The sequence below is a fragment of the Homo sapiens genome, chromosome 2, assembly GCF_000001405.40.
Source record: "Homo sapiens chromosome 2, GRCh38.p14 Primary Assembly".
NCBI lineage: Eukaryota > Metazoa > Chordata > Mammalia > Primates > Hominidae > Homo > Homo sapiens.
In genome coordinates this window covers 155,521,237-155,542,382 of record NC_000002.12, presented here as the reverse complement: position 1 = coordinate 155,542,382, position 21,146 = coordinate 155,521,237, and the positions used below count along the sequence as shown (strand labels likewise).

The 21,146-nt window shown below is 30.9% G+C and overlaps 1 long non-coding RNA gene across 3 annotated transcripts in view; it reads right to left on the bottom strand.

Moving 5' to 3' along the window:
- Window positions 1-16,908, bottom strand: part of LOC107985953 (uncharacterized) — a 139,261-nt gene extending 122,353 nt beyond the window's left edge. For 2 of the 3 annotated variants that reach the window (XR_001739746.3, XR_001739748.2), the window contains exons 1-2: window positions 16,842-16,908; window positions 644-723 (exon numbers count right to left, since the gene is read on the bottom strand). This is a non-coding gene — a long non-coding RNA (uncharacterized LOC107985953). The remainder of the gene's footprint in view (window positions 1-643; window positions 724-16,841) is intronic. The other variant, XR_001739747.3, reaches the window with a different exon arrangement.
- Window positions 16,909-21,146: the final 4,238 nt, after the last annotated feature.

Genomic DNA, 21,146 nt, shown 5'->3' with positions numbered 1-21,146 from the left:
ATTAGAAGAGTTGTATTTCCCTAGAGAATTAACGTTCCAGGAACTTAGGTTTATATAAATCATCTTATAATGATACATAGACATCTTATCTTGTTTCAGATATGGGCATATGACTTTGGTTGGCACAATTATATTATAGGATGGTGATTTTCTTTCATATCTGTAGGAATGATAAACTCTGTCTCGTATCAGATATGAAGGCAGCAGTGATGCTATAGCTATAGATATGTCCACATTCCAGGCAGGAAGAAGGAGCAGGACAAAGAGCAGAACGATACACATGCCAGCTGGGTCATCCTCCAATAAAGAACCTTCCCAGAAACCATACCCAGTGAGTTGTTTATATCTTAGTGTCCAAAACTGTGTCAAATGTCTACTTTTAGCTGCAAAGGAAGCAGAGAATATATTTTCACCTGGCACCTGGCTCCCCCAAATAAAGTGTAGCTTCATTAGTAAATAAAAAGGTGAGAATTGATATTAAGTAGCCTACTAACAGTTTCTAACATATAGTCCTTGACCTCAAAGTGTTCATCGTCTATTCTGGAAACATACATATAAAAATACTTACAATATATTTTAAATTCTACTTCTACCAACAAGGTATCGCCAAGGAGAGAGCAATATTTGCATGATAAACGTTTACCTGTAAGAAAGCAATAGATTACATTTCCCTATGTAGAAATTCAAGGCAGTTTCTAGCTTCAAGGCACAACAACTCCAATACTGTAGAAAAGAAAATGAAAGAAAGAAATTAATACATTTTGAAAACCAATAATGGGCATTATCTGTGGACTGATTCCCTGATGCATTGTTTGAGAGAAAATAGCAAAAATAAAACCAAAGTAGAAAGCCAAGGCAGATTGGAGGCCTTTCTCAGAGCACCATTGGCTACTTCACTAGGAAGATGGAGAAATGTGGTGCCTGACAGCCTCAGTGGCTGAACTCTCTTGGGGCTATAATGCACACAGTATTAGCAAGTGTCCATAGCCAACCCATGGGGGAAAAAAACCTCACAAAAACAAACAAACCACCGCGGTCTCAGCTACTAAGAGAAGGCAACCAGCCTCCCACAGCTACAGAGGGCCCCAATACACCATCTTCTGCAGAGTTTGTGCAGCCCACATGAAGCACAGAATTCTCATGTGGTAGATAATAAGTACCTATCACCAAATATCTAATGTTGAATACTGCTTGATAGTAAGTGAAAGTAGCAGCCAAGGAAACACAAATAATAGAGCCAACTGAAAAAGATCATTTAATAGTGAAATGACACATACATAAAATAAAAAGCAATTATTTAAAAACATTCAAAATTTTGGAAATAAAATATACCTATTCAAATAACAAATTTAACTTAATATAATGTCCAAATAACAGAATGGATATTGATAAGGAGCTAAGAAAATCTTCCTGTACAAAATTAAAAAAAGTGAAGAGGTATAAAATATGAAATACAAATGAACAGTCATGGAGGATATATTAAGACTTTCCAATATGCATCTAAAAGTAGATCCAAAATCATTGAGTTAAAAGAACAAAAGGGAAAAGAAAATAAAGAAGAGTGCCTGAGACTTTCTCCAAAACTTAGTAGAACTGTTATTTTAAAATACTTCACTAAGAATCGAACACATCATTTTTTCACACTTATCATTTATATTCAACAAAATGAGAATAAGGCTTGCTTCAAATTTCTAGGAAAAGAGAAAGTTACTTTAAATCAGGAATGGTTTTCTATCTTTATCACCATGCAAGGACCAGGGTTCTCTAGTCATGCAAGAACTCGGAAAGTTCACCTGTTAAACACATTAATAGAGAATGTACTTCAGCAAAAAAAGAAAAGTGGATTCAGAATAAAATGGGTGTTTCAAGAAGCAGTAAAGAGCACACATATCAGTTAGAAGAGATCTGGTATGTTCAGGTGGTATGGCTGTAGACAACACACATATCAATTAAACATGTTAGATATAAATAAATATTGATACTATTAAATAATTACCTTAACAGCAATTTGAAATATTATTCCAGATTATAGCAACATGGATACTGATCAGAGAGTGAGTAGGAGTAAAATCCAAGCAAAATACAAATGTATAAATATCTTTGCCTTCAGCAGAGTGTGTGCAGGGGTGGAGAATATTTTCACAAGCAAAGATTTCTTAGAACACCAAAACCATAGGCATCATGGAAATATGATAAATTCACTTTATTGACATTAAATATAGCTGTTCTTTAAAAGACAGTGTTGTGAAAATAAAAGGCAGTTAATAGAAACTACCTGCAAACGTAGTGTCAAAGAACTATCTAGAATATGTAAAAAATGCTTACAAGTCAACAATAAGAATAAAAAAGCAGTTGAAGATGAGTCAAATGTTTTAATGAGCACCTCACAAAAGAAGACTTTAGACTTACTGAAAACCAAATGCAAAGGATCTCACTACCCATATTCATCAAAAAACAAGATACAAATTGAAGGAACAAGCAATTGAAAGAACAATGAGATACTGCTATTCATGCCCTGTTGAAGGGTTAAAATTTAGTAGCTTGACAATAGCAAATAATAGCAGAGATGTGAAACTCTGGTACACTACTGGTTCTAATGCAAAATTGTACAATCTGGAAATTACTTGGCTAAAATTAGAATTAAAAAATACATATATTTTTGTAGCTAATGTAAAAGGTGTTGTTATTGATTTGATTCTCAGCTTGGTTGCTGTTGGTGTACAGCAGAGCTACTGATTTGTGTACAGTAAATTTTGTATCCTGAAACTTTGCTGAATTCATTTATCAATTCTAGGAGCTTTTTGGAGGAGTCTTTAGGGTTTTCTAGGTAAACGATCATATCATCAGCAAACAGTGACAGTTTAACTTCCTCTTTAACAATTTGGATTCCCTTTATTTCTTCCCCTTGTCTGATTGCTCTGGCTAGGACTTCCAGTACTATATTGAGTAGAAGTGGTAAGAGTGGGCATCCTTTTCTTGTTCCAGTTCTTAGAGGAAATTCTTTCAACATTTCCCCATTCAGTATTATGTCGGCTGTGGGTTTGTCATAGATGGCTTTTATTACATTGAGGTATGTCCCTTGTACGCCGAATTTGCTGAGGGTTTTAATAATAAAGAAATGCTGGATTTTGTCAAATGCTTTTTCTGCACCTATTGAGATGATCACGTGATTTTCATTTTTAATTATTTTTATGTTCTGTATCACATTTATTGACTTGCGTATGTGAAACCATCCCTGCATCCCTGGTATGAAACCCACTTGATTATGGTGGATTATCCTATTGATATACTGTTGGTTAGCTAGTATTTTGTTAAGGATTTTTGCATCTATGTTCATCAGGGATATTGGTATTTAGTTTTCTTTTTTGTTTTGTCCTTTTTTTCTAAGATAGGGAGTAAGACAAAAATGGCCACTCATACCAGTCTCATTCAATATCATGCTGGAAAATTAAGTCAGTTCAATATAACAAGAAAAAGAAATAAAATATACACAGAGTGGAAAGGAATAAATGAAAATCCCCACTTACAGGAGATATGATTGCACAGAAAATATCAAGGAATCTATAAAAAATTATATAACTAATGAAAGAGTTGGACAAGGCCATCAGATACAAGGCCAATAAGCAAAAACACAGTTGTTTTTCTACATAGTACTAATAATTAATTGGACATATTTTTTAAATAATATTTACATTCACTCAAAAATCATGAAATGCATAGCTAGAAATCTAATAAAACTTGTGCAGAATCTATATACTGAAAACCACAAAATGCTCATAAAAGAAATCAAAGAAGATCTAAATAAATGGAGAGACATACAGTGTTAATGAATTGGAAAACTCAACAAGTAAAAATGTCAATTATCTATTTATTCACAGGAAGATATAATACAATTTCTATCAAAATTCCAGCAAAATATTTTTTAGATATAAACAGGTTTACTTTAATGCTTACATGGCAAGGTAAAGGAACTAGAATAGCAAAAAATTTTTGAAAAAGGATAAAGATGAAGGGGTTATTATTCATTCTGATTTCAAATTTCTTATTATAGAGCTATAGTAATCATACTGTGTGGTATTGGTAGAGAGAGAGTCGTATAAATCAGTTGAACAGAAGAGAGAGCCCAGATAATAACCCCATACAAATACAGACAACTATTATTGACAAATGTGCAAAGGGGTTCAATGCAACAAAGATGTCTTTTCAACAAATAGTGTTAGAACAATTTGATATCCATAGACAAAAAAGACAAAAAAAAAAAAAAAAAAAAACTCGAGCTGAATCTCATGCTTTATCTAAAAAAAAAAAAAAAACAACTAACTCAGAATGGATTGTTAATTTAACAGTAAAACATAAAGCTGAAAAACTTTTAAAAGATGCCATAGGAAATATCTTTAAGACCTAGGATTTGCTAAAGAATTCTTGAATACTTTTGAGATCTTGGGCTTCCAAAATAATGATCTACAAAAGAAAAAAAAATCAAGAAATTGGTCTTCATTAAGATTGAAATATTTTTCTCTGTGAAAGACATGCTCTGTTAAGATGGTGAAAATACAAGCAACAATGGGAAAAATATTTGGAAACCACCTGTAAGACCAAGAAATCATATCCAGAATATGCAATAAAGTATCGAAACTCAACACAAAGAGAATAAACAACTAACTTTCAAAAATAGACAAATGACAGTTACTTCATCAAAGAATACGTAGATGACAAGTAATCACATGAAAAGTTTTATATTATTTACCATTTGTAAAATGCAAACTGAAACCATGATGGGGTAGCACTATACACTAGTAAAATGGCTAAAACTTTTGTAAATACTAAAACAAAATTAGTGACAATAAAGAACAGAAATTGTGATTCATTGCTGGTGGAAATACCAAATGGACAGTTAGAAAAATAGTGTAGCAAGTTCTTGTAAAGTTAAATCTACACTTACCTTGTGACTCAGTAGTCCCACTACAAAGTATTTACCCAAAAGTAAGGAAAACTATGTTCTCACCAAAATCTGTACGTGAGTATTTATAGCAGCACTATTCATAATCTTCCAAATTGTAAATGACCTAAATGTCTTTTAGGAAGTGATTGGATAAACAAACTGTGTTGCATCCATAAAATAGAATAGTAATAAAAAGGGTTGAGTTAGCCAGATAATCAAAGTTATCATCAATAGTATTAGTCATGATAGTATGTATTCTTGATGTGGTGTGATAGAAATGACAAAGGTAGACTTCTGTGATCTTCCTCCCCAAAACTCATAACCTCAGTGTAATCATGAGAAAAACATCAGACAAATCCTAATCTAGGGACATTCTACAAAATGCCTCGTCAGTACTCCTCAAAACTGTTAAAATCTTCAAAAATAAGGACAATCTGAGAAAAATGCCACAGCCAAGAGGAACCTAAGAAGACAATGCAAGTAAACATAATGTAGTATCATTAATGACACCTTGAAACAGAAAAACAGCATTAGATTAAAATGAAGGAAACATGAATGATGTATGGACTTTAAATATTGGTTCCTTAACAGTGAAAATATACCATACTACTACAAGATATTAATAACAGGTGAAACAGTGTGAGGGCTACGGGAACTCTGTATACTATCTTCATATTCTTCTGTAAATCTGCAACTGTCTGAAAATGAGTTCATTAAAATATTTTTAATTGCATGAAAAGAAACTTTATAATTAAAGCCATATATGAAAGAAAGTTTTAAAAAATATGAAGCAAACCATTGATATATACAACAACTTGGATGAATCTCAGAGACATTACTCTGAGTGAGAGAAACTAGTCTCAAAAAGTTACTTACTGTATGGCTCCACTTAGGTTCTCAAAAAGACTACAGTGATGGCGAATGTATTAGTTATTGTCAGGGGTGAGATGCCTGAAGGAATTTGATTGTGAAGTGATAGCAACAGGAAATTTTATGAGGTGAGAAAACTATTTCATCTCTTTGATGTGGTAATGGTTACTCAAATCTATACATGTGGTAAATTCAAATAATTTACATCAAAAAAATTTTTATGTTGATTAGAGATAAGTAAATTAAAAAAATAAAGAAGCAAGTTATAGAAATGTACATATGGGATGGTTCTTTGGGGATGAGGAAGGGAAAGAAAAAAGTACATAGCGCTCTGTGGGCTTCTATGTGCATGGCAATCATTGGAAGAGTAAAGAACCCACTAAACGTAGTTATTTGGGCCAAGCTGGAGAAAGACTTTTCATTATTTTCCTTTAAATATTTTTGAGTTGGCTATTTATTTTAAAAGTAAATGTAAAGAAAAAAATTTTAAAAAGTCTACCCAAAGATTTTTACAGGAATAGTCATAGCTTTTTTCTTTATAATAGCCAAAACCTAAAAGCAAACCAAATGTACACGTAAAGAGGAGTGAATAGACAAATTGTGACTTTGCCATGTAAGATACTACGTGGCTTAAAAAGTAAAACAGATGAATCTCAAAAGCATTGTGCTACTCAAATGGACTCAGTCACCAAAGAGTACATATTACATAGTTCTATATATATCAAATTGTAAAGGAGGCAAACACCTAGTGTAAAAAAAAATTATAGATTATCTGGAATGAAGGGGGTTGTAGTGTCTGGGGGAGGAGATGACTAAGTAGGGGATTGAGGGAACTCTTTGGGGTGATGAAGATGTTCTATGCCTTAATTGTGTTAGTGGTTAAATAAGTGAATATATTTGTCAAAATTTACCACTTAAATGAATGCATTTTATTGTACGTAAATTATACCTCTAGGTTGATTTTTTAAAAGGACATACCTTATTTAACATTGTATTTTTTTAAAAAATTGGGCTATTAGAGGGGGAATGGGAAAATGGCTTGGAGAAACTGATGTCATTTTGTTTCCTTTTAGTTTCATGCACCCTACCAATAAGCTTCTTTCAATTTTTAAAAGCCTGGTTGACAAACTGAATCTTGAATGTAAATAATATATATTAGCTTCAGAAATTGTACATAATTTTAAATTTAAAGCCATGATGTAATTATTATCTCTTGTTTTTCAGCATGAGAAAAGTTAACATTTTTCAGAGTACAGTTGAGGTATCTGTGAGCAACTAGAATGGGAATCATTATTCATTTGACAAAGAACAAAACCGAGTAAAGTCCAAGCACTGTGACGGAGGATTAGGGTCTCTAGAGAGCACAGTCCATGACAATTTTTGGTGGCAAGGAAAGGCATCACCATTTCTAGTATTTTCTTTTTTTGTTCCATGTTTTCCCTTTTCTTATGAATTGTATGAGAGAACTCATATATCCTTCGTAATCCTTTTAAATTTTTCTAAATTGATTGGTATGGAATGACATATGATTGTGGTTTAATTTATATGTTCTTGATTAATAGTGAAATTAAATGTCTTATTTTGTATTAACTGACCATTTGCGTTTCAACTTATGTGACTTCCTATTCACATCTTTGTCACTTATTTTACTTGGCTGGTTTTTTTTCTCTTATTCTATGTATATGAGTTTCATAATATTAATCCTTTGAAAGTTCCAAGTGATGCACATATCTCTTCTTGTGGCTTGTATATTTCTTTCTTTTTCTTCTTTCTTAATGTTTGTTTTTTGTAATTTAAATCTTAGGTGACTAGTTTGCATAGAATTTACTTTTAAGAATGTTTTAAGGGTGAAAATATTCTTCTTTCCATTTGGGTGGGGGAGTTAAACAATTCTTCTGTCAAATTTATTGAATAATTCACCTGTCCCAATGATTTTAAATGTCTTCATTTGCATACATCAAATTTCTACATGTGTATGGGTCTGAATCATTGGTTTCTTCATCCTTTTATCAATGGTGAATTACCAGAATTTCATTAGCATTATATTTAGTCTTCTAAATTGTAGAACAGTCTCCCAATCTTGTTCCTCTTTTTCAAATTCACTATGCCTATTCTTGAATATATAGTATGATCAGCTTGAGAACATTTGTAAAATAAACTTTTGTGATTTTATTTGAAATTGCAATTAACAGTGGAAGAATCTTCATCATGATATTGACTTTTCCCATTCATAAACATGGCATATCTTTAAACTTACTTGCATCTTATCTTCTGTGTCTAAATTTTATAATATCTACTGATGTTAGAATTAATCTTGAATATCTTATAGGCTTTGTTACTTTTCTAAGATGGTCTTTTTATTACATTATAAAGTTTTTAATATTTTACTGACATAAAAATATAGTTTCAATTTAAAATAACTTATTATATCTACTAATATTTCTATAGATGTGTCTGGATTTTTAGGTAGACAATTTCTTTTCTGAAAACATTCCCTTCTGTTTCTTAATTTCTAAATTTTAAAACTTATTTCATAGTTTAGAATATCTAATGCAATACTGAATAGAAGTATGATACAAGACATCCTTGTCTTGTATACGGATTTAAAGGAAACTATTACATTTGCTTTGAAAAACAATGTTTGTGTAAGTTTCTGGTAAATAACATTTATGAAGAAAAATTTTTCTATTTCTAGTGTTCTAAAATGTAAATGTGATTTAATGGTTTATTCTTTATTGAAATTATCTAATTATTTTCACTACTACTTTAATATTTAATGTGTTGGTTAAAATAGAGTTTTAAATATTAAATCAACTTTGAACATTATAATTTGGTATTTTTTAAAAGATGATTTTACTATGTTCATATATAAAATTAGTTTTAGTGATCTTTCCTCATATACTTCTTGCATTGTCTGCTATAAAAAGTTATACTATCCTTATAAAATGATTTGGTAAGCATTGAATTTTTTTACTCTAGAAGAATTTATATAATATTGGGCTTTATGTTGCTTAAATGCAAGACATAATATATTTATAAAACATGTATGGGAATGCTATTTTTTGAGTGAGGGACTAGGCATAGATTTTTCAGATATAGATATACAGAGGTATTATTTTTTCATGAGTAGGGTGGGTAAGTTACAATTTTTAGAAACTATCTAGATTTTACATTTTTTATACACATTTGTAGGATTTTAGCTATTTTTTAAAACTGGCAACATTGCACATATTTGACGTGTAGCATTTTCATTATCGTATAATTCTAAATGTTTCCTAGGTTTCATTACAATTTCTCATGTAATCCACTGTTTACTTATAGTAGGTTATTAAATAAAATTTAGGCTCTATTTTTACTTTACCTTAGTTCTTTTCAGCTTAGAGAAGCTATTGTATACAACTACTCCCACATGCCTTTTTTTGTGAAAATATTTATTTTGTGTCCTAGAACCTGATGAGGTTTCACAAGTCTACCACTGTGGGCTAGAAAAATTCAAATTCTCTGCATTATAAATAGAGGTATTATATATGTTTGTTTGAACTTAATATTTGTTCACCATGTTGTTCAAATCTATATTTTTACTGATTTTTCTACTTATCAATAACTAAAATAGGTATACTAAAATCTACAAAAGTGGATTTATCAATTTCTCCTGATAATTATGCTAATTAATGCTCTGTATGAATTTGAAACTATGTTAAATAAAACAAAACTTTGGAATTGTTATATTTATTTTATGGTATTTTCTTCTTACTAATGATTATGTATATTTATTTTTAAACTATTAGAACTATAACAGCTTTATTTATGTTAACTAGGATTATTAAAAAATTCTTTTAAATACCAAGTTCAGTCAAATCAGGTTTGTTACATTTATTGATTTTTATTATTTATATCATATTATTTGAATATTTACTTTTAATTGCTTTCTTTTCCCACCGTTTTCCTTTTATAATCTTCAACTTGTCAAATTTTATCTATTCCACATTTTACCTCTATTACTAAGAAAATTAAGCATTAAACTCTTAACTTATATACTTAATAAAGTCTAATGTTACCAATTGTTTCTCTCATTCTCACAAAAATATCTACAATTTTTAAATCCCAAAACTGTTACATTTTATATTTGTTTTTTATTAATCAGTATAATAGTCATTATTGTTACAACAATTATTATTTTGTACTATCAGAATTCTTTAGTTTTACCCACCTGCTTATATATGTATATATATATTATATATATATTATATATATATATATTATATATATCATATTATATATAATTTGTTCATCTTTGCTTTATAGATCTCATTCCTTTTTCCTTCTTTTAATTTCTTTCTTTCTGATTTATATCATATAGTCATTCTTTTGTGACTGGCATGTAAGTATTATTCTGTTCCTATCTCATTTTCATTCTTTAAAAACAAATATTTGGTTTTATCACTGGAAGAAATTTGTATATATGTATGGTAAAAAGCATGATGTGCCAGTAAAGTTGTATATTATTGAATGTGCAAATCAAGTTCATTAACATATTCATTATCTCACATACTTATCTTTTTTATGGTGAGAACATGTAAAATCTACTCTCTTAACATTCTTCAATTATATAATACATTGTTATTAATTATAATTATTATGTTTTAAAATATATCTCCTGAACTTATTCTTCCTGTACAACTCAAATTTTGTATCCTTTGACCACCTCCCCCATCCCCCACCACCTCACTCAGTAACCACCATTTTACTCCACTTGTATGAATTAAACTTTTTTAGATTTCACATATAAATGAAATTGTGAGGTATCCGTCTTTCTGTGATTGGCTTTATTTCACCTGGCATAATATCCTCCAAGTTATCTCATGTTGTCACAAGTGACAGAATTTTCTTATTTTTTAAGGCTGAATAGCATTCCGTTGTGTGTATATATCATATTTTCCTTAACCGTTTTTCAACCAAGTTTAAAAAATAGAACTGCCATGTTACCCAGCAATCCCACTACTAAACATGTATTTAAAAAAAATGAAACAAGTATGTCAAAGAGATGTCTGCACTCCCTTCTTTATTGCCACATTATTTACAATAGCCAAAATATGGTATCAACATGTGAATATCTGGTTTTCACGGCACTATTTTTTGAAGAAATTGTGTGTTCTGGGCAATTGTGTTGAAGATAATTTGACCATAAATGACTGGATCTATTTCTGCATTCTCTCCTATGTTCCATTGATATTTGCCAGTGTTATGCTTTTTTGTTTACTATATGTTAGTAGCTGATTTTGATACCAGGTAGTGTGATGCCTCCAGATTTGTTCTTTTAACTCAAGATTGCTTTGGCTTTTTAGGGTTTTCTGTGGTCCTGTGTGAACTTCAGGATAGTGCTTTCTATTTTCTTAACAATGTCATTGGAATTTTGATAGGGATTGCACTAAATCTGTAGATGATTTTGTGCGTATGGATATTTTAAAAATGCTAATCCTTCTGATCCATAACACAAGTTACCTTTTCACTTACTTGTATCTTCTTCCATCATCATACAAATCTTTCACTCTTTAGTTAAAATTATTTCTAAGTGTTTTTTGATGTTATTTTACGTGGAATTGTTTTCTTAATTTCTTTATCAGATAGTTTGTTTTGTGTATAGAAACACTACTTATTTTTGTATGTTGATTTTGTATCCTGCAACTTTACAAAATTCATCTATAGTTAATGCACTTTTTGTGGAATCTTTAGGATTTTCTATATAGAAGATGATGTCTGCAGAGGCAATTTTATTTTCTCCTTTCTGATTTAGATGCTCTTTATATTTCTTTTTAATAATAAATTAGCTATAGAATTGAAACATGGTATTTTTCTCAGCACCTTAAAAATATTTTCTCCCATTAATTTTTGTCTTCTTTTGTTGCTCTTAAAAAGTTATCTATAAGCCTAAGTGTCATTTTGTTACATGTACTCTCACTTATGATCTCTGGTTGCAATTAAGACTGTCTTCCCTCTTTTAGTGAACTTCCTTATAATGTTTTAAATATTTTGTTTAGGACTTAATGTGCAGATGCTTTTGGCATCTTTGTCATGACATCTTTGCCTGTACTTATGTCCTGAATGGTATCGCCTAGGTTTTCTTCTAGGGTCCTTATAGTTTTGGGCTTTACATTTAAGTCTTTAATACATCTTGAGTTAATTTTTGTATATGGTGTAAAAACGGGGTCCAGTTTCAATTTTCTACATATGGCTAGCCAGTTCTTCCAGCACCATTGATTAAGTAGGGAATCCTTTCAGAATAAAATACCTAGGAGTACTGCTAACAAGGGAAGTGAAGGACCTCTTCAAGGAGAACTACAAACCACTCCTCAAAGACATCAGAAGGGACACAAACACGTGGAAAAACACTCCATGCTCATAGATCAGAAGAATCAATATTGTGAAAATGGCCACATTGCCCAAAGCAATTTATAGATTTAATGCTATTCCCATATAAGTGCCATTGACATTCTTCACATAATTAGAAAAAAACTATTTAAAAATTCATATGGTACCAAAAAAAGCCCAAATAACCAAGAAAATCCTAAGCAAAAAGAACAAAGCTGGAGGCATCACACTACCCAACTTCCAATTCTACTACCAGGCTACAATAACCAAAACAGCACGGTACTAGTACAAGAACAGACACATAGATCAATGGAACAGAATAAAGAAACCAGAAATAAGACCACACACCTACAACTATCTGATCTTTGACAAAGTGATACATCTCTAGAAACACCTTTACCTGAATGTCTTTCTTGGCTTGTTTGCAATTTTTCTCTACAATGCTTAAATTTTCACTGAAGTTCTTCTTTATACAAAACAACTGGGTGGTATTTTTCTTGCAACCACCCAATTCATAACTAATGCTAATCTGTAATTTTTGAAAATTACCAGATATAAATATTAACAAAAAAATCATCTACATACCAAAAGACTAAAACAAACAACTGAAACTTTCTCTCATTTCAAGACTAGTTGGAACTATAGCCAAATCTGTACTATGTACAGGAGTCACCTAAAGCAATAATACAATGATATAAACTCAGTATGGGGGAGGAAAAAATGCATCAAAAAATTATTTTAAAAGGTGACAATATTAATAACAGATTTTATCAATTCTACTAAATAAAACAAAACAGTACAATTTGTTAAATTTGTTTTTTAGGCAGTTGGGTCATAAGAATTAATAATACATGAAGAATACAATTCAGAAAAAATCAGACAAAAATATATAAATGAATAAATGGATAAAATACCTTTTAACAGTGGTAAACTCTAAAAAATAGATATAATCTATATGGGGGTTAAGGACTCATAATATGGAGATATGTTACATAATATAGTCAAGTAAAACTTTTCTCCAGTAATTCTTGAATTGTTATCTAAGAACAGGTAGGAGCCATTATAAAAACATTTAAGACAGTATTCCTCTACCCTACCTGCATATTAGAATCATCCAGGGAGTTTTAAAAACTACTCTTGACTGTTCCCTCATCCAATCTCCAAAGTTCTTATTTCATCAATTTGGGTTGGAGCACATGCATTGTTTTATATTATACCCCTTTGGTGTTTGGAATTTTCATTCTCATCCATGGCTGAGAATTGTGGATGAGAATGGCCTAGGGCCATGATTTTTCACACATTAGAAGCACCTGAGAATCGTGGATGAGAATGGCCTAGGGCCATGGTTTTCCACACATTAGAAGCACCTGAGAATCGTGGATGAGAATGGCCTAGGGCCATGGTTTTCCACACATTAGAAGCACCTGAAGAGTTTTTAAAATCTCAGTTCTCAAGCTGCTTTCAAATCAATTAAATCAGAATATCTGAGGGCAGGTTCTTGGCATCAGTCTTCTTTTGCAACACTCCAATTTATTTCAATGTATAGACACAGTTGAGAACCTGTATTCTGAAGGAAGAATACTCTAAGTAGAGGAAAGAGCTAATGCAAAGGTCCAAAGGCAGAGGTAAGTTTGATGTTTTCCAAGGCTAGAAAGAAAGCCAGATTTAATGGAGGGAATAGAAGTGTGTTGCAAGATGGTATGGTAATGGCAGTTTCAATGAAAATCATCTAGCCATGATTAATCAGAAGGATAATTAGCATAATTTCTATTTAAAATTTTTTTGGCCACTGCAGAGATAAGACAATATATACATAAGAATAAAAGCAGGGATAAATTTAAGTAGTCTAAGCAAATAAAGAATATATAAAATGAAGATGAAGAAATAACTATAAGAATAAAATAAGAATTATAAAAGAGTAATTTGTAAAACACTATAGAAATAAACTTGAAAACTTAAGTGAAATGAGTCGTCAGCAAAATACACATACATTTCTAATAGACCAATAAACTAAGATGATAATAAAACATTATCAAACCACTCCCTAAAAGAAAAAAAAAACAGGCCTGGATTATAAGTGAATAAACAAATTCAAATGCTATTTAAATGTATCCAAAACATAACTTTAAGAACAAAGCTTCTAAATTGTTTTTTTGACTCTATCATAGCACTGATGGCAAAACTGGATGAAGACACAAAAGTCAAGCCAGCAAACCAAAATAGCAATACAAAAATATTACTTATTAAAATGATATCAAATTGTAAAAAAGTACTTCCTATAGACCAGGTCTGAAAAATAATTATAATTTTTTTAAAATTTTCAAAAAAAGCATATTATTTATGCTGTATGTAAAAAATTACCTTCTGTGTGCAGATGGATTTCATTTTAGACATATAAAGATTATTTCTTTTCAGAAAACATACGAAAATAATATAGTAACTAACATATATGCAAAGACACTTAAGATTGAAATTAGTTATTGATAAGACCAAATAAATATTTGGTTACTCTGTTCCTCACTCACATTCTGAGTTGTGTGGGTTGCTGTATGGCTGGAATCTATGAACTCTACTAGGCAATGCTGAGCTGGGCTGAACTAACTGGATTCAGGCTAAAGGAGTAACCTATCTGGACCATGTGGCCCCCATGGTATAGGTCAAAGGATCAGGGTTAGTAAAACAACAAAAACCCATTAAAAATATCTGTACCCATGTATCATTGGTCCAATCAAGTCACATGGCCCAATTTAAAGTCAATGGAGTGTAAAATTCATGGAAAAGGTGAGGAGAAATATATAATTGAAAAGAACCCATAAAATCTACCTCTTAAAGTAAACAAACAAAAATAAAAACCCTTAATATTATATGAAAATAGATACCTTCATAGAAGAAAATTAATATCTATATCTTCATAGAATAATGTAACAGGGATTGAGCTATCACCAACCAATGCCAACATAAAGCTTAACAAATTAAACATATTTTATTAAAGTGATAGAAATGAAACAGATCCTTACTTTACCAGTATTATTGAACAATATTCCCGAAATTCTAGCCAGTGCAATTAGAGAAGGGAAGGAAATGCATGGAATATAAAATTGAAAGGAGAATAGAAATGTAACAATTTTTGCAGATGTTATGACTATATAAGCAAGAAAACTCAAGAGAATATACCACAATCTACAAACAATAAAAGAATGTTAAAAAAAGTGGATGGTTAGCCAATTAATATAAACAGCAGCTTTCCTATATACAAATAGTGGCAGGTTAAGATAGAGAGAAAGAAAAAGTTCTGTTGTTAATTGGGTTAGTATCAATGATAATAATAATCAAGAGTATACCTAACTAGAAATGTACTGATTTTATATGAAAAAAAGCTTACACACCTATGATATATTGCATGACAAACATACAAGTGAAAGATATAAATAATCTTGAATGAATAGTAAAAAAAAATCATGTTCTTTGATTAAAAACTTTATTTTTATAATTCTCCCTAAATTAAATTCATAAATTCTATTCAATGCAAATGAAAACTCCATCTGCCTTTTTACTTGGAGGAACACTTGACAAAATAACACTGGTGTTCATCTAGGGAAATAAATATGTGACAATATCCAGGAAATTTCAGAAAAAGATCAGTAATGTGACCCTTGCCAGATATTAAAATGGCCACTAATGTGGGACTGTTTAGATAAATCATGGTTCTTTTATATAATAATTAATATAAAGCTATTAAAAACAAAAATATGAATTGTCATATGCAGAGTTTTAGGACATTAATTAAAATATATAAAAATATTACATAAGAATATAAATTTTAAAACATACATATCAGATGTTTCTGAAAGCATATACACATAACTATTAAGTAGTTACATATTCACAGAGGCACTAGCGGTTTTCCAGTAGGAGGAAAACTTGTACTTTTTATTGTCTGATTGCTTTTTTATCATATGCATGTATTACTTTAGTTGTTGCTCTTAATTCTCAAAAAGCTTTTCAGTGCTGATGGGTTATGATGTATCCAGGAATTGAAATGAAATTTATACCCATAACAAATCATATATTTAAACATTACTGAACAAAATACATTCAAATCATTTAAATAATTTATTTATTTAATGTATGTACTATCCTATTAAATTTAAGGTATTCATTTATCCCGGAAGACATATTTAGCATAAATGTCTCTTGTTTTAATTGTTATAATATTTGACAATAACTGAAAATTATTTGAAGTTTCCATTAATTTTTACAGTTTTTACTCTTAGCTTGCCATGTGAATGTATTACCATTCAAAGGAGCTAGTCAATAATATCTGGAATATTCTAATTTAGTAAAAAGCTCAGTTAACATCATTCCTTTCAGACACAAGATTAAAGAACATTGACTGAAGAGTATCATGATACAGTGTTCAATAAATCTACCATTTTCTTGAGTGGCCAGCTAGATAATTATAGTTTCTCATAAAGCGACAATCCAAGTATTCTTTAAGCCTCATCTTTTGCTGGTGTTTCAAAATTCCAAACTAAAAGAGTCCAAGTTATTGTGATTTTCAAATACAAATATTTCAGTGTCTGAAATAACTGAAATAACTCCCTAAAATATATAGAAATAGTTAGTGAAGGCTAAATGCAAAGGAAATATACCATCTTACCTTAGTTGCAACCAGATCGCTAAAACAACTTTGCCCAAGAATCTGGCCTTACGGAAACATATTTGATGTTGAAACAAGGTCTCTTTGCTAGTTATTTCGTTGCATGTCCATCTGCTATGTTGAAATTGTGCCAGCTCACAAACTGGTCTGCTATTTTCAGTAAAGCATGTGCCAAAGCAGCACATGGTTTAGACTGGCAGATTACATAAGGCTGCGAGTATCCACTATAATAAAAATTTAGTCTTTTGCCCAGTATGTTTGATCCTTAAATTGCTCACTGCATGCTCATTAACTCAAAAAAATCCCTTGAAAGAGATGACATACTATTAGTTTACTTTACTGTTAAGGAATCTTGACAGAGATGAAATGACTTAACCAGAGGCACAGGTGAATATTTAATGGAATGTTTGTGTTTGTTTACCTGGAACTACATCTTCTCACCTGAGGTTTTGATATTTGTATTGGGGTAAAAAGTGTTACAATTCAATAAGGTATAGATAGATATTTTCTGAAAGAGTAGTTAGTGGTGAGAAGTAAACACTTGAAATAGCACAAATTGTTATTATAATTTCTGATATATTTGTCTGGAAATTCTTAATTTTAAACGAATAATTGAACTAATTGATCTTTCACAAGGCTACTTTGGTGGTTACTTTGGCTTATTGGACTGGCATTCTCTGTACCGTAAAAGCTATTGAGAAGAAACTTTAGGAATATTACCCATTTCAACAGAATCCTTTGGAAACTTTTGAACATAATTTATTTGGAGAGACAAGTCAGGTAACGTTTAAAACTTTGTCATCTTTTACAATCTTTGTAAAGATAAAAAATATACCAAAAATTTAACTAATTACTAGCATGCACAAGCCTACTGTTTCAAAAGACCTAAATATACATTATAGCAAAGGTTCATTACATTATCATCAGAGTTGAAAACAAGAGTTTTGATATTTCGTATTTCTTCAGACTAATTGAAGCTTTTCATCTTGATTGAATTTCTAGGTTTGCAAAATAATCAAACTGCCCCCAAAGAGTTTTGCTAGACTCCTTTATTAAGGACTTTGATGAGCACTCAGACAAGCATGCCAATCACATTTGTGAATGGCATGAGGTTAAAAGTAATGTAGACAATATTCACCTATTACCAATATCTGAAAAAATCTCTAAAGGCAAAAAATAGATAAACCTGTAAGGTTAAAATGTTATAGCAGTTAATGTAAAGTTATCATGTTCTGAGGTCTGAAAAATCCAAGTTTATAAGGATAGAATAAAGAAGGCATACCTAGGATTAACCCACGTAAAAATCACATTGGAGTTTTAGTTTAGCTTAATAATAAGCATGGATGTGGCCAGACCAAACATCACACTCAGTTGTGAGAACCATCTTTTGATATAAATTTTGATAAGCAGGAGTAGAGGACACAAAACAGGATCATGAAAAAGAGTTATACAGTATAATAATAATAATAATATAGTAATACATATTATATTATAAAATGATACAAATAATACATATTGTGTAATACTATATATTATAATATAATATTATTATATAACATTTTATTATATAATATATATTTTATTATATAATATAACATTTTGTTATATAACATTTTATTATATTATATATTATATTACATATATTATATAACATAATGTTATATAATATATATTATATAGCATAATGTTATTATATAATATATAATATTATATAACGTAATGTTATTATATAATATATAATATTATATAATAGTTTGAAGTAACTGAGATTACTTAACATAGAGAACTCAGGTAAGATACAATATGTATTTCAAAATATTTGAAAGACAGTATATGGAAATGTATTTAGCCATCATTTGTATAATTGAAAAGGTAAGAAGAAGATCCAAAAGTTGAAAGTTACTGGGGCCGGGTTTCATTTCAAGTTAAGGGAAAACTTTTTTTTTTTTTAACTACTCAAAAACAGAACGAGTTTTGTAAGAGAAAAATGCTTGAAGGGCATATAAAAGAGGTTAAATCATCTATTAAGGGATGGAAAGAAAACAAAGGGATTTAGAACATATTACCTTAGCAGTCCTTTTAAATTCATACATAATTTTAAATATAATGTTCTTTAGATGATAAAACCAATTGGTTGACTGTACATATGTTAATTATATATATATAATTAATGAGGGGTGTGTGTGTATATATTTGTATTAATGTTTGCATACAAGCATATCTGATAAGTTGAAAGTTCTTAATATTGTGATAAGTTGATAAAGTCTTGGTAAATATTTATTAGCCCTTTAGAATGGAAAATTTTGGCCTCTGTTCTTTTTAATCCCAGTATAATATCAGTTGACTTCCTGACTAACTGTTGTAATGATTCTACTCTGTTTACATGGTTAAAATTGACCGGAGATAAAAGTGACAGCTAAGGCAGTGTGTACAAGGACAGAAAGGCAAGATAGAGATGGGTTCCTTGAAGATGACAAGAGGAAGCCTGGATTTGCTGTAGGAGGCAAGAGGCCACTAGTAACCGGATTCAGAAGGGAATGGTTTGGTCTGAACAACAAGAAACAGGGAAATGTTAAGCTCTCAAAAGCTTTCCAAAATAAAAGGGACATGGAGAATACAAGATTTTATATGTCCTAACCCTGCTATCTAACTGAGAGGCACACAAAAGAAATGGGCCAGATAAAACTGGCATTTATCAGGAATGGAGCAGATACACCCTTAACCTGACGACTCCATGGCAGACTACAAGGAAGAGGCTTACTTGTTCTGGGAGGCGAGTTCAACGTCGACACTAAGGAATTAAAACCTGAACAAAGAAAGGCAGGAGTAAGTCTAAGGACATGAGGTGGAAGCCTAATGGAATTGGGCAGAAATTCCCGTTTCCAAGGGCGAAAATGACTTTTACACTAAGCCTCAGCAAATGGCTGCATTTTCCCGGTTCCTACGCTACCATGTGGTTAGCCATGACGCTGCCTGATTTACAACACTGTGGATTTACAGACTTGTATTAGGGGCTACAGTGCATTCTTTTTTTTTTTCTTCTTCTTCTTATTTTTGCCTTTTTTTCTGTAGGAATAGATATTTACTTTGAAAAAATTTTTCATCATTCTATTATATATACCTTTTGTCATACCAGCTAAACGATTTTGAAGAGCTTTGATTTTTCTATTTTTCTATATATATAATAGAAAGCAATTTCCTTGAAGTGGTCTTACATTCTATATATTAATAGTGGTGAGATTTAATTCTTTACAACCCCACTCATTTCTATTTTCCACTTATCAGTAAGGTTTATCAGATATGTAGGTTTTCAAGAAATTAAGTGTGGTATTACGTATTATTATGAAATTTTAAGCTATTGCTGTTTATCAGGTTAATGGCATTGATTACATGAAAGTAACACGTTCGATTCTACATACTATTTGTTGACCGCATAATTCCAAAGCTGAGGTGCATCTGCAGGAGCCAAAGTCCAACAAAACTCACCCCAAAAGGACTAGTCTAGCTCCATTAAAGGAGGTAGTTCTTTAAACATCCTCACGTCATCAGTTCTCAGTGTATGCTTACTATTCATGAAGCATTGCTCTAAGGAAATGAGAGAGAGAGGGAGAGGGATAAGGAAAAGGGAAAAGAGAGAGAGAGAGAACAAATCAGGAACTTGTTCACCTTCAGAATAAAATACTCAGAGGCAAATCGGGTAAGAACATAAGGGAGGGAATGGTCTGTAAAATCGGCATCAAGCCACATGATACATCATAAGGAGGTGAATATGAACAATGCTCAAGCCTTAAAGTTACCTTGATGAAGAAAACAAACCAAGATTTCCAGGTTGGAGAATAATTTGCAAATTTATACTGGATCTCATAGCAATAGCAAATGTTCTATTGTGGCAAACATTAAGCAACCCTTAAAAAAATACCTGAGATAATCCTACTACAAATTAATGCTATTAAGCACTTTTTAATCCCTCCATTTAAATTTTGTTCATGTCCCCCATAAAGCAACTTAACTATATAGTTGGAATTAGATACAGCAAGTGCATGGCAGGTGTCTGGATCTCAATATGAGATTATATGAATGAAACTGTCCTAATAGAAGGTGAGGGTGCATCTGAACACATAAATGCCTGGGTGCCTTTGGGCAGTCACGTAATTCAGCACACCTGCAATTTAGGGAATTTCAAATCAATTTCCAAGCCCCAGAAAATTCTAAAAATCCACCTACGGGATAACAAACTATAATTTTTGCATGTTTCATGTGAAAATATTGAAAGAAGTGTTTATATTTCTTGTAACTAGAGGCTTA